The sequence below is a fragment of the Homo sapiens genome, chromosome 2 (genome assembly GCF_000001405.40).
Source record: "Homo sapiens chromosome 2, GRCh38.p14 Primary Assembly".
In the NCBI taxonomy this organism is placed as follows: domain Eukaryota; kingdom Metazoa; phylum Chordata; class Mammalia; order Primates; family Hominidae; genus Homo; species Homo sapiens.
The window spans coordinates 153,750,667-153,766,013 of NC_000002.12; the positions used below are offsets into that span (position 1 = coordinate 153,750,667).

The 15,347-nt window shown below is 36.5% G+C and overlaps 1 protein-coding gene and 1 pseudogene across 5 annotated transcripts in view, besides 1 other annotated feature; one reads left to right on the top strand and one right to left on the bottom strand.

The window, feature by feature from the left end:
- GALNT13 (polypeptide N-acetylgalactosaminyltransferase 13) overlaps nt 1–15,347 on the top strand; it is a 1,388,282-nt gene that overhangs the window by 682,374 nt on the left and 690,561 nt on the right. The window lies entirely within an intron of this gene.
- DNAJA1P2 (DnaJ heat shock protein family (Hsp40) member A1 pseudogene 2) lies at nt 10,620–12,102 on the bottom strand (annotated as a pseudogene).
- Nucleotides 14,345–14,900: an enhancer, noted in NCBI's record as "H3K27ac-H3K4me1 hESC enhancer chr2:154621524-154622079 (GRCh37/hg19 assembly coordinates)". NCBI's record gives its function as "activates a minimal SCP1, AML or CMV promoter by ChIP-STARR-seq in primed H9 embryonic stem cells {active_cell/tissue: H9 hESC(primed)}" and the evidence as "EXISTENCE:reporter gene assay evidence [ECO:0000049][PMID:30033119]".

The following is a 15,347-nucleotide window of genomic DNA, read 5'->3' on the forward strand; positions in this document are numbered from 1 at the left end:
CGTCTCCATTTTCATTTCTGATTTTATTTATTTGGACCTTTTCTCATTTTTTCTTTGTCTGGCTAAAGTTTGTCAATTTTGTTTAATTTTTAAAAAAACAACTTTTTGTTTCATTGATTTTTGTTGTTTTTTATTTCAGTTTCATTTATTTCCGCTCTGATCTTTATTATTTATTTTCTTCTAATTTTGGGTTTGGTTTGCTCTTGCTTTTATAGTTGTTTAAGGTTTAGAATTAGGTGTTTTTTGAAGTTTTTTCTCTTATTTGTTATAGGCACTTAAAGCTACAAGCTTCCCTCTGAGTAGTGCTTTTGCTGTATCCCATAGGTTTTGGTATGTTTTGTTTCCATTGTCATTTATTTCAAGAAATTTTTTAGTTTCCTTCTTAATTTCTTCATTGACCCACTGGTCATTCAGGAGCATATTCTCTAATTTCTATGTATTCGTATAGTTTCCAAAACTCCTATTGTTATTAATTGCTAGTTTTATTCCATGGTGGTTAGAGAAAATGCCTGATATTATTTCAATTTTTTGTGTGTTTTAAGACTTCTTTTGTGACCTAACATATGATCTGTCCTTGAGAATGAGCCATGTGCTGAGGAAAAGAATGCATATTGTGCAGCTGTTGGATGATATGTTCTGTAAATATCTATTAGATCCATTTGGTCTCTAATGCAGTTTAAGTCTCATGTTTTGTTTTGTTTTTTTTTTCTCTTTTTCTGATGTTCTGTTTGGAAGATCTATCCAATGCTGAGTGTGGGGTGTTGAAGTCTCCAACTATTATTGTACTGGGGCCTATCTCTCTCTTTAGTTCTAGTAATATTTGCTTTATATATCTATGTGCTCTCATGTTGGGTGCATATGTATTAAAAATTGTTATATATTTTTGCTCTATTGATGCTATTATCATTATATAGTGACCTTTCTCTCTTCTTACAGTTTTTGTCTTGAAATCTACTATGTCTGACATAAGAATAGCTACTTCTGTCCTTTTTTAGTTTCTATTGGCATGGAATATCTTTTTCCATCCCTTTACTTTTAGTCTACTTGTGTCTTTTTATGTAAAGTGTATTTACTGTAGGCAATAGATCAATGGGTCTTGTTTTTTTTTCATTCACTCAGCTAGTTGATATCTTCTGATTGGAAAGTTTAGTCCACTTACATTCAATGTTATTATTTATATGTAAGAACTTACTCCTGCCATTTTGTTATTTGTTTTCCGGTTGACATGTGACTTTCTTTCTTTCTTTCCTTCCTGTCTTTTTTTAATAGAGGTAATTTTCTCTGGTGATATGATTTTCTTTCTTGCTTCTCATTTTTTGTGTATTCATTGTATGTTTTTTGGTTTCAGGTTATGTCGAGGCTTGTAAATACTGTCTTACAACCATTATTTTCACCAGATAACAATTTAACACTATTTGCATAAAGAAACAAACAAATAAAACTAATAAAAACTGTATGCCTTAACTTCACCCTGCTTTTAAATTATTGTTATTTCTATTCATATCTTATTTTACAGTTGTGTCTTGACAAGTTGTTATAGTTATTATTCTTGATTGGTTCATCATTTGGTCTTTCTACTTAGGATAAGAGTAGTTTACACACCACAGTTACAGTTTTACAATTTCTGTGTTTTTTTGTGTGTGTGTACTTGCTATTACCAGTGAGTTTTGTTCCTTCAGGTAACTACTTATTGTTCATTAATGTCCTTTTCTTTATGATTAAAGTAATCCCTGTAACATTTTTTACAGGACAGGTCTGGTGTTGATGAAATCCCTCAGGTTTTGTTTGTGTGGGAAAGTTTTTATTTCTCCTTCATGTTTTAAAAATATTTTCACCAGATATACAATTCTAGGGTAAAAGCTTCTTTTGTCCTTCAGCAGTTTAAATATGTCATGCCACTCTCTCTCTTCTGGCCTGTAAGGTTTCCACTGAAAATCTGTTGCCAGACATATTGGATCCTCGTTGTATGTTATTTGTTTATTTTCTCTTTCTGCTTTTAGAATCTTCTCTTTATCCTTTATCTTTGGGAGTTTGATTATTAAATACTTTCAGTTAGTCTTCCTTGGGTGAAATCTGTTTGGTGTTCTATAACCTTCTTGTCCTAGGATATTGATATCTTTCTCTAGGTTTGGGAAGTTCTCTGTTATTATATATTGGAATAAACTTTGTACCTGTATCTCTTTCTCTGTCTCCTCTTTAAGGCCAATAACTCTTAGATTTGCCTTTTGAGGCTATTTTCTAGATCTTATAGGCATGTTTCATTGCTTTTTATTATTTTTCCTTTGAACTCCTTTGTGTATTTTCAAATAACCTGTCTTCAAGCTCATTAATTCTTTCTACTGCTTTATCATTTCTACTATTAAAGGACTCTAATGCATTCTTCAGTATGCCAGTTGCATTTTTTAGCTCCCGAATTTCTGCTTGTTTCCTGTTAATTATTTCAATCTCCTCCTTAATCTGGTAGAATCCTGAATTCCTTCTTTGTTGTCTTGAATTTCTTTAAGTTTCCTCAACACAAGTATCTTGAATTACCTATACAATAGGTCACATAATTCTGTTTCTCCAGGATTGGTCGCTGGTGCTGTATTTAGTTTATTTGGTGAGGTCATGTTTTCCCGGATGGTCTTGATACTTATAGATGTTCATCTGTGGCTGGGCATTGAAGAGTTAGGTGTTTATTATAGTCTTCACAGCCTGGGCTTGTTTGTATCTGTCCATCTTGGGAAAGCTTTCCAGATATTTGAAATGACTTGAGTTTTGTGATTTAAGATGTATCTGTTTTATGGTGCATCCAAAACCCAGTAACACTGTGATTCTTGTAGATGCGCTGAGGTCCTACCTTGATGGTCTTGGACTAGACCCAGGAGAATTCTCTGGATTACCAGGCAGAGATTCTTGTTTTCTTCCCTTAGTTTCTCTCAAACAAATGGAGTCTCTCCCTCTCCCTCTGTTCTGACCCACCTGGGGGGTGGAATGACACGAGCACCCCTGTGGCCATTACCAATAGGACTGGGTCTTGTCTAAGGTTTGCTGTAACTACTTCCTGGCTACTGCCTATGTTCACTCAAGGCCATGAGGCTCTACAGTCAGCAGGTGGCAAAGCCAACTGTGCCTGTTTCCTTCCCTTTAGGGCTGTGAGGTCCTGCAGGACCTAGGCAGGTTTAGAGGTGTCATCCAGTAGTTAGGGACTAGAGTCAAAAACCTTAAACATTTACCTGGCATTCTATTTTACTGCAGCTGAGCTTGTAGGCAAACTACAAGATAGAGCATTTCCCAGTTTTCTCTCCCTTTTCTAATAACAGAGGAGCCTCGCCTCATGGCCTATGCCACCACAATTCCACTGTAAGACTACCATCAATGTTTCCTTCAGGGCCAAGGGCTCTTCAGTCAGCTTGTGGTAAATGCTGGTGGCTGGGACACTCCCTTCAGGGCAGTGGACTACACTCTGGCCCAGTGCAGATTCAGAAATGCCATTCAATACCAAGTCCTGGAATCAGAGACCCCAAGAGCCCACTTGGTGTCTACCCACTTGTGGCCAGGCTAGTACCTAAGGTGCAAGACAAAGTCTCTTTCACTATTCCCTCTGCTTTTCTCAAGATGGAGTCTCACATCAAAGCCACAACAGCTGGGAATGTGCTCAGTCTCACCTGAAACCAGCAAGTCTCTGACCCTCAATGTAGTACCTGGGTATATTGTTGGTTATTCAGAGCCCAAGGGCTCTTCAGTTTGCAGGTGATAAATCCTACCAGGACTGGATCCTTCCCTTCAAGACACTGGGTTCCCTTCTGGCCCAGAGTGTCTGGAAAAGTTGCACAGGAACTAGGACCTGAAATGACAGCCTCACAACTCTTGACCAGTGCCTATCCTGCTGTGGCTGAGTTGGTATCCAAAGTGCAAGACAGTCCCCCCACTCTTCCCGCTGCTCTGCTCAAGTAGTAGGAAGGAGTCTCTTTTGGAGCTGTGAGCTGTGCAGCCTGGGGTTAAAGGAGGGATGATGTCAGCACTGCCTTACCTTCCCTGGCTGTCTTAGTAGTTTGTGTGCCCTCTCAGTCCTCTGGTTCTAGGCCCAGTTCAACCCTAGGACTCACCTAAAAGTTGTAATCCTTGTTGTCTAAGCTGCCTTTCAAGTTTATCAGAGCCCCGGAGGAGAGCTTTAGCCCACAATGGCAAGGCTTTCAGGAAGTCAAATTCTGCCTGCTGGAATTGGCAATTTTCCTCTGTCTAGGGCTTGTTTAAATGCTTAAATGCTCCCTCCATGGGTGGATGCCAGCTGAGTTTGATCCAGTTTTGCTTTCTTCTATAACAGGATAGCACTGTGTTCAATGCCTCAAAATTGCTGCACTCTCCCTCTCTCTATTGCACAGAAACACTCCACACCACACTGCTGCTGCCAGAGAATGAGGGAAGAGTGGTGTCTGTAATTTGAGACTGTTTTCTCTACCTCTTCAGTACCTCTTTCAGTGATATGAAGTTAAAACCAACTACGATTGCTCATCTGACTTTTTGATCTTATAAAGGTTTCTGTTCGTTTGTGTTTGTTTGTTTTTTAGTGTAGATAGTTGTTAAATTGATATCCTTGTGGTTGAGATGACAGGAGAGGTTTCTCTTCTGCCATCTTGATCCATCCCTCTCCTCTATTTTTAGTTTTTTGAGGAACTCTATACAATTTTCCATAATGGCTGTACTAATTTGTATTCCTATCAACTGAGTAATCAATTTCCCATTTGCCCACATCCTGGCCAACACTGTTATCTTTCATCTTTTTCAAAATATGCATTCTGACAGGTACTAGATAAGAGCTTATGGTTTTAATGGGCATTTCTCTAATGATTAGTGATGTTGAGCATTTTTTAATTTATCCATTGACCTCTTGTATGTTTTCTTTTGAAAAATACCTATTCAGGTCCCTTGTCCAGTTTTAAATAATGTTGTTTTCTTTCTATAGAGTGTTTTGAGTTACTTATATATTTTGTATATTAACCCCTTATCTGATGCATGGCTTTCAGAAATGTTTCCTGAATCTGTAGTTTGTCTCTTCACTCTGTTAATTGTTTCTTTTGTTGTGTATTTTATTTTTTTCTTTAACTAGACTACATTATTGTGGTTGGTTGTTTAAAATATCTCCTTCAACATACTTACTAGTCCTCCAAGATATCATTACAATAAGTACCCAAATCTTTATCTCGAACATACCCTCCTCACCAGGCAAAAAGTAATGGACATTTTCTGTAGTCTTAAGTGATTATTCCTGATTAATGTTTATGCCATATTGATTTTGCAAGAAGTTAACTTCTGTCATTCTCCGCAACATTTTCAACAAATAATGCCATTAAGCAGCCTTGGAAAAATATATTCCTATAAAAGTCTTTCATCTGTAAGGTAAAAATAACTTATAAGATTATATAGTATATTTGAAGAAGTCTGGTAAGTACACATTATGTCTTTCTTACCTTCTCTGATTTGATTGGGAAATAAATAGCATTTAAGCATGCAATAAAAAAGATTGTCTTCAGAGAGCAATTATGTATAAGATCACATTTATGAATACTATACTATGATCAATTTAATATCTTTTGTGGAAAAGTCAATTATTAAAATAAGCATTTTACCTTATTTAGATTAAAAAGAGAAAAATGCTTTGGTGACAAAGAAAACATATTTATAAACCAAGTAAATAAATATGGGAATATAAGTGCTTATAAATTGTGCATTGCTCTGTTAAATGAACCATTTAAAGGAGACAGAACTAGTTGCCATAGCTATTTTATAAAATCAAACATCGATTTCAGTTTACTTTTGTATCCTTGTAGTAGAACTTAATAAGACCAGTAACTCACATTTTATCAGTTCAATTGATTGAAACTGGATTTTTGCTTTTAAATCACATGTTAAGATTGCAAAGAGATGAAACTTGCCTCAAATACCTTATTTTATTTCTACTCATGTTGGACATGAGTGCCTTTATCTTTTAATTATGAGAAACATTTTTCTTTTTTTTGTTTTTCAACATCCTTTCTGCTTTCCAGGTTTACCATTTTAGAATGTACCATTGACTAGACTTTCCATTCCAAACTAGTATCTTCAAAATACTCAGTGAAATTTATCAGTTCTGTATCTTCAGGAAATACAGCTGGGCCTTCCTTGGCCAAAATGTAAACTATCTGCTCCAGTTCTCTAGGCTTTTTTTTCTATTATCCTATTTTTTTCCAGGTGTTTTTGTTTGTTTGTTTTCTCACCTAACCAGTATACATTTCACCCACTAAACACTTGTGTCACAAATATAGAATCTCTTCCTTTTTTAGACAGTATTTTTTAAAGAACGTTTATTTATTTTTGTTAGCTATTGACAAATTATAATTGTATGCACTTATGGAGTACAAAGTGATGCTATAATATTTGTATACAATATGGAATGATTGAATTGAGCTAATTAACATAACCATCACCTCAAAAATTATTTATTTCTCCTGTCTAAATGAAACACTGTACTCTTTTATCAATATCCACCTATTACCCTCCCCCACAGTCGCTGGTTTCTGGTAACCACAGTTCTGCTTTCTTCCGTGTTAGCTTCTTAGCTTCCACATACAAGAACATGTGGCCTTTGTCTTTCTATAGCTGGCTTATTTTACTTAGCATAATGTCCTCCACACTCATATATGTTGTTGCAAATGATATAATTTCCCTCTTTGTAAAGGCTGAATAGAATTTCATTCTGTGTATATACTACGTTTTTGTCCATTAATTGACTGATGAAGGTTTATTCCAAAACTTGACAATTATAAATAAAGCTACAATAAACATGGAAGTGCAGGTATCTCCTTGACATATTGATTTCAAATCCTTTAGATATACTAGTGAAATTGTATTTTTACTTTTTTCAGGAGCCTCCATACAGTGTTCACCAATGGTTGTACCAAATTACATTCCCAACAATAGTCTAGTAGGGTTCTCTTTCTCCACACCCTCCCCTACACTTGTTATCTTTCATCTTTTTGATAATAGCTATCCTGATAAGTGTAAGGACATACCTCATTGTTTTAATATGCATTTCCCCAATGATTAGAGATGTCGAACATTTTTTAAATGTATCTGTCGGCCATTTGAATGTCTTCTTTTAAGAAATATCTGCTCTGCTCATTTGCCCATTTTTTAAATCAGGTTATTTGTTTGCTTTCTATTGAATTGTTTGCATTTCATATATATTTTGAATATTAACTCCTTATTAGATGTATGGCTTGCAAATATTTTCTCTCAATTCATAGGCTGCATCTTCATTCTGTTAATTTTTTTCTTTACCCTACAGAAGTTTTAAGTGTGATATAATCCTATTTCTCTATTTTTGGTTTTGTTCCCTGAGCTATCATGGTCAAACGTAAAACATTGTCCAGACAATTGTTGTATAGTTTTCCCCTGTTCTTTTTCTCTTTTAGTAGTTTTACAGTTTCACTTTTTACATCAATTTTTAACCCAGTTTGAGTCGCTTTTGTATATGGCATGAGATGAGGGTTCAATTTTATTCTTTTGCATGTGAATACCCAAATTTCCCCATATCCTTTATTGAAGAGACTGTCTTTTTTCTATATTGTGTTTTAGACACCTTTATCAAAAATCAATTGACAGTGAATAAATGGGGTTTTTTTTTTTTTGGCTCTCTATTCTGTTCCATTGGTTGATGGATGTGTCTATTCTTATGCCAGTACCATGCTGTTTTAATTACTATCATTTTGTAATATATTTTGAATTCAGATAGTGTAATGCCTCCAGCTTTGTTTGTTTCAGGGTGCAAGATTGTCTTGGAAATTTGTACTTTTTTGTGGTTTTATATAAATTTTAGTTATTTTTCCATTTCTGTGAAAAATGAATTTACATTTCGGTAGAATTTTCATCAATATGTAGATCACTTTGAGAAATAGGGACAGTTTGTTTATTTATTTATCTACTGAGACAGAGTCTCACTTTGTCACCCAGGCTGGAGTGCAATGGCATGATCTTGGCTCACTGCAACCTCCACCTCCCAGGTTCAAGCAATTCTGGTGCCTCAGTGTCCCAGGTAGCTGGGATTACAGGCCTGTGTGCCGCACCCAGCTAATTTTTTGTTATTTTAGTAGAGTCAGGGTTTAATATGTTGGCAAGCCTGGTCTTGAACTCCTGTGCTCAAGTGATCCACCCATGTCAGCTTCCCAAAGTGCTGGGATTACAGGCATGAGCCACCACAGCTGGCTAATAGTGACATTTTAACAATATTAATTCTTCCAACCTGTGAACATAAAATATCTTTACATTTACTTGTGTCATCAATTTCTTTCATCAAAGCTTTGAAATTTTTAGTGTGCAAATCCTTCACATCCTTGGTTAAATGTATTTCTAAGCACTTTTTATTCTTAGTAGCTGCTGTAAATGAAATATATTTCTTCATTTCTGTTTCAGATTGTTCATTGTTAGTGCATAGAAACACTACTGACTTTTATATGTTGATTTTTTTTATCCTGCAACTTTACTATATTCATTTATTAGTTCTAACAGTTTTTTTTGGAGTCTTTAGGTTTTCATACATAAGATCATGTCATCACCAAACATGAACAATTTTCTTAATCTTTTCCCATTTGGAAGTATTTTATTTGTTTCTCTTACCTAATTGTTCTGGCAAGGAGCGCTATAGTCACTTTCAGCACTATAGTGAAGAGGTGAAATTAGACATTCATGTCTTGTTTCTGATCTTATAGGGAAAGTTGCCATTGTTTTCATCATTAAGTATAATGTTAGCTGTGGCTTGTCATGCATGGCTTTCATTGTGTTGAGGTACATTCCTTCTATAGCTAATCCATTGGGAGATTTTATCATGAAAGGATGCTGAATTTTGTCAAAAGCTTTTTCTGCCTCTAATGAGATTGATCATATGGTTTTTGCCCTTCATTCTATTAATGAGGTATATCATTCTTATAAATTTGGATTATGTTGAATCATCCTTGCATCCCTGTGATAAATTCTACTTGATCATATTAAATGATTAAATGATTCATTTAATACACTGTTGATTAGATATTGCTAACATTTTGTTCGGGATTTTTGCATTTATTTTCATTTGGGATATTGGCCTGCAATTGTTTTTCTTATAATGTCCTTGTCTGGCTTTGGTACCAGGATGATTCTACCCTCATAAAAAAAAAATTGGAAATACTCATTTTTGTAAGAGTTTGAGATGGATTTATATTAGTTCTCCTTTAAGTGGTAGAAATAAGTAAAGCCATCAGATCCTGAACATTTACTTCATGGGAGACTTTATTACTGATTCTCCCTTTAATGGTTATTTTTTATATATTTTCTATTTCTTCATGATTCAGACTGAATAAGTTGTATGTATCTACGAATTTATCCATTTCTTCTAATTTATTTATTGGTTGGCATACAATTATTCAAAGTAATCTCTTATGATTCTTATATAGCTATACTATCAGTTGTAATTTTTCTCTTTTTTCTGACTTTAGTTATTTGAATTGACTCTCTTTTTTGTTAGTCTAGGTGAAGTTTCATTGACTATGTTTATCTTCTCAAAAAACTTATTGATTTCATAGATTTTCTTCTATTGTTTTTCTAGTCTCTATTTGATTTATTTCTTTTCTAACATTTATTTTCTTATTTCTTCTAACTTTGGGCTTAATTTTTTCTTCTTTTTTCTTTTATTTGAGGTGTAACATTAAGTTATTCATTTGAGATTTTTAAATATAGAACTGTTTTTGTTGTATCCCATAAGTTTTGGTATGTTGTGCTTCCATTATTGTTTGTCTTAAGTTTTTAAAAATGTCCCTTTTGATTTCTTCTTGACCCATTGATTATTCAAGAATATATTGTTTAATTTCCACATATTTGTGAATTTTCCAAGATTTCTTCTGTTTTTGATTTATAATTGCATACACTTGGATTAGAAAAAATATTTGATATGTTTTCAATTTCTTCAATCTGTTCAGACTTGTTTTGTAGCCTAAGATGTAATCTATCCTGGAGAATGTTCCATGTTCCCTTTCAAAGAACATGTATTCTGTTAAATGGAATGTTCTGTATATGTCTATTACATCCGTTTGGTCTAAGGATATTTCAAAGCTAATGTTTTCTTATTTATTTTCTGTCTGAATGATTTGTCCATTGTTGAAAGTAGGGAACTGAAATCCTCACTCTGATTGTATTGCATTTGATATCTCCCTTCAGATCCTTTAAGATTTCCCGTACATATTTAGGTGTTCCAACGTTGGGTGTATTATGTATTTACACTTGTTATATCTTCCTGATAGATTTATCCTTAAACATTATGTAATAACCTTCTTTATCTTTTTTTACTGTGTTTGATTTAAAGCCTACTTTAAGTATAGCTAACCTTGGTCTCTCTCTTTTGGTTTTCATTTGCATAGAATATTATTTTTCATCCCCTCACTTTCAGTCTATGTGTGGCCTTAAATGTGAGTTGAGTCTATCTGGGTAGCATAGAGCTGGGTCTTGTTTTTTAAATCAAGTCAGTAACTCTATGTCTTTTTATTGGACAATTTAATTCATTTACATTCAAAGTAATTAGTGATAGGTAAGAACCTACTACTACCATTTTGTAATTTATTTTCTGCTTTTTTGAGCTTTTATATTTGTTTACTTATTATTTAATTTTAAAAACATTATTATAATTGAGTACTAAAACAAAAACAATAGCAGGTAGTGAACACATTATGATTACAATCCTTCATTCACTCACTACTGCTCATCAAATGCCAGGAGTGAGTGTTACTCACTGGTCCGTTTATGAAGTTTGGCAGTGAACACCACCTCTGGGATGATGTTTATCATCCTCACATGTTTCTCCATTGTAATAGTGCTGTTTTTCCTGATTTGAATCAAAATACACCAGTTCTAACTTGATCCATTTCATCAATCTCTTCTATTTCCTTCCTGTCAGGTAGGAGTTTACCCAACTAAGAGAGCTTATCATGAGACAGAAAACCATTCTCAGGAAAGTTTACCTTGAATTTGATGATTAGGTGATGCTTTTCATATGGTCTATGAAAAACTGGCATGACTTCATTTAGCACACATTTGATATCTCCATATTTGACAATGTGACCTGGGTGAGAGGTGATGACTATAGTTCAGTAGTCAAGAGTGGATATTGGTTTTTGGAAACCACACAACATTTTAACCAGCTGTCTGTCCATAGACATAAACTAGTCTTCTTGTCAAGTAAAAACAGCATGGTCCTTTTCATCTAACTCAATGATAATATCTCCTGGCTCCAATCCTGGTTCTTTGTCTCTTTCACCATGAAATGTTATCTTCTGGCCATATTTCATGTCTTTGTCAACATGAACTTCTAGAATCTTTTCCCCTCAAACTATCCTTCTTCCATTTCAGTGTTTACATCTGTCTTTAGGACTGATTCATTCTCCATGACCGTGGCACTCCATGCATACATAGAGACTAAGTATGCTGAACCATCCCAGGCCCTATTGCATGAATTCTTATTTACAGTCCAGTAACTTGGCAACTGGGACAACACTATACTTCTCTCCTCTTTTTTTCCCCACTTCTGTCTTCACATTAGTCACAAATTACATTCTTGTGAAGTACCAATTTTCTTGTTGTACCATCACATACATTTTTTAAGGTTTTGAGAGCTGATGCACAACAATGTTACTCCTCTTTCCTCTCTGCATTCTTCTTCCTCCATAAATAATTATATTGAAGATGTCCATAGGGGACCCAGAACTGCCACTTGCTCAGCCCTCTTATTTACCTGTTATCTTCCTTTGTTATACAATTCTCTTTTCGTGGCATCAGAAATAACTTTGTAAACTTGAGAAATCTGTTTAAACTTCTCTCCATTTGGATTTTTATCAGGGTGGTACTTCAAGGCCAGTTTCCTATAAGCCTTTTTCAGTTCTTCCTTAGTGGTACTTTGTTTGACCCTCCAAAAATCATGGAAACTGGTTTATTTCACCATTTTCTACAGCTACTGAGTAGGATGAGGCCAGTGTGAGAAAGCGGAAAGGACTGTAGTAACTTTTTGAAGCTCGGGCAGTTTCCACTTCTCTACATCTCACTGAGTATTCTGGAAAGTTCGGCCCGGTGAACTGAAGCCCTTGTCTTTTGTCTTCTGCTTGTGTTTTATATATATTTTTTCTTCCTCTATTGCCATCATCATTTGTGACTTAATGGTTGTCTGTAGTGAATTGTTTATATTTATATTTTAAAAATCTAGTACAGATATTTGCCTTTTTGTTATAAGACTTGCATAAAACATACTTATAACAAACTATTTTAAGCTGATAACAATTTAACTTTGATTGCATTTGCTTTTGTAGAGTTACAAAACTCTACACTTTTATTATACCCACATTTTATGTTTTTGATGTCAAAATTTACATTATTATATAATTTGTATTCCTTGAAAATTAAATTTTACCTATTGTTGTTTTGATGTATTTTTATTAACTATCATACTGAGATAAAACTGGTTTAAACATCACCATATCAGAGTATATTGAATATGATTCTGTATTTCTTCTACCATGAATTTTTATGCTTTTGTATGTTCAAGTTAATAATTAGTGGTCTTGGTGCATTTTAAAGAAGGTCCTCTAGTCATTCCGGTAGGTCAGGCCTAGTGTTAGTGAACTATCTTAGTGATATGATTTGGCTGTGTCTTCACCCATATCTCACCTTGAATTGTAATAATCTCCATGTGTCAAGAGCAGGGCCAGGTGGAGATAATTGAATCATGGGGGCAGTTTTCCCCATACTGTTGTCACGATAGTGAATAAGTCTTATGAGATCTGATTGTTTTATAAATGGGAGTTTCCCTGCCCAGGCTCTCTTGCCTGCCACCATGTAAGACGTGATTTTGCTCCTCCTTTGCCTTCTGCCATGATTGTGAGGCCTCCCCAGCCATGTGGAACTGTGAGTCAACTAAATCTCTTTCCTTTATAAATTACCCAGTCCCTCATATGTCTTTATTAGCAGCGTGAGAACAGACTAATACAGTAAATTGGTACCAGGAACTAGTGGGGTACTGCTATAAGGATACCCAAAAATGGGGAAGAGACTTTGGAATTGGGTAACAGGAAGAGGTTGGAATACATCAGAGGGCTTAGAAGAAGGCAGGAAAATGTGGGAAAGTTTAGAGCTTTCTAGAGACTTGGAGGGGTCAGAAGAGGATAGGAAGATGTGGGAAAGTTTGGAACTTCTAGAGACTTGGAGGGCTCAGAAGAACAGAGGAAGATATGTGAAAGTTTGGAACTTCCTAGAGACTTGGAGGGCTCAGAAGAACAGAGGAAGATGTGGGAAAGTTTGGAACTTCCTACAGACTTGTTGAATGCCTTTGACCAAAATGCTGATAGTGATATGGACAATGAAGTCCAGGCTGAGGTGTTCTCAGATGAAGATGAGGAACTTGTTGGGAACTGAAGTAAAGGTCACTGTTGCTGTGCGTAGAGATTGGCATCATTTCTCCCATGCCCTACAAGTCTGTGGGACTTTGAACTTGAGAGAGATGATTTAGGGTATCTGGTGGGAGAAATTTCTGAGCAGCAAATCATTCAAAAAAAGCAGAGGCTGGGCATGGTGGCTCACACCTGTAATCCCAGCACTTTGGGAGGCCAAGGAGGGCAGATCTCCTGAGATTAGGAGTTCAAGACTAGCCTGACCAACATGGAGAAACCCCATTTCTAATAAAAATACAAAATTAGCCAGGCATGTTGGCACATGCCTGTAATCCAAACTACTCAGGAGGCTGAGGCAGGAGAATTGCTGGAATCTGGGAGGTGGAGGTTGCAGTGAGCCAAGATTGCACCATTGCACTACAGCCTGGGCTACAAGAGCAAAACTCCATCTCAAAAAAAAAGCAGAGCATAAAAGATGAAAGTTGGAAAAATTTGCAGCCTGATGATGTGATAGAAAAGAAAACCCCATTTTCAGGGGAGAAATTCAAGCTGGCTGCAGAAATTGGCATAAGTAAGGAAGAGCCAAATGTTAATCACCATGACAATGGGGAAAATGTCTCCAGGCCATGTCAGAGACCTTCATCTGCAGCCCCTCCCATCATAGGTCCAGAAGCCTTGAAGTAATAAATGGTTTTGTGGGCTAGGCCCAGGGCCCCCTGCTGTGTGCAGCCCAGGGACTTGGTGCCCTGAATCCCAACTGCTTCACATCCAGCCATAGCAAAAAGGGGCCAAGTATGGCTCAGGCCATTGCTTCAGAGGGTGCAGGTGCAAGACCCATGCCTTGGCAGATTATACCTGGTGTTGGGCCTGCAGGTGCACAGAAGTCAAGAACTGAGGTTTGGAAAACTCCACCTAGCGTGCAGAAGATGTATGAAAATGCCTGGATGTCCAGGCAGAGATGTGCTGCGGGGACGTAGTCCTCATGAAAAATCTTTGTGAGGGCAGTGCAGAAGGGAAAGTGGGATGGGAGCCCCCACACAGGGTCCCCATTGGTGCACTGCCTAGTGGAGCTGTGAGAAGAGGGCCACTGTCCTCCAGACCCCAGAATGGTAGAGCCACTGACAGCTTTCACTGCACCTGGAAAAGCTGCAGACAACGCCAGCCTGTGAAAGCAGCTGGGAGGGGACTGTACTCTGCAAAGCCACAGGGGTGGCACTGCCTAAGCCCATGGGAGCCCAACTCTTGCACCAGCGTGACCTGGATGTGAGACATAGAGTCAAAGTAGATCATTTTGGAACTTTAAGGTGTAATGACTGCCCTATTGGGTTTTGGACTTGCATGGGACCTGTAGCCCCTTCATTTTGGCCAATTTCTCCTATTTGAAACATGTGTAATTACCCAATGCCTGTACCCCAATTGTATCTACGAAGTAAGTAACTTGCTTTTGATTTTACAGGCTCATAGGCAGAAGGGACTTGCCTTGTGTCAGATGAGACTTTGGACTGTGGACTTTTGAGTTAGTGTTGACATGAGATAAGACTTTGGGGGACTGTTGGGAAGGCATGATTGTGTTTTTAAATGTGAAAAGGGACATGAAATGTGGGAGGGGTCAGGGGCAGAATGATATGGTTAGGCTGTGTCCTCATCCAAAACTCACCTTGAAGTGTAATAATCCCCTCATGTCCAGGGTGGGGCCAAATAGAGATAATTGAATCACAGGGGTGGTTTCCTCCATATTGTTCTAATTGTAGTCAGTAAGTCTCATGAGAGCTGATGGTTTTATAAATGGGAGTCCCCCTTCACAAATTCTCTTGCCTGCCACCACGTAAGATGTGACTTTTCCCCTCCTTTACCTTCTGCCATAATTGTGAGGCCTCCCCAAGCATGTGGAACTGTGAGTCAATTAAACCACTTTACTTTATAAATTAT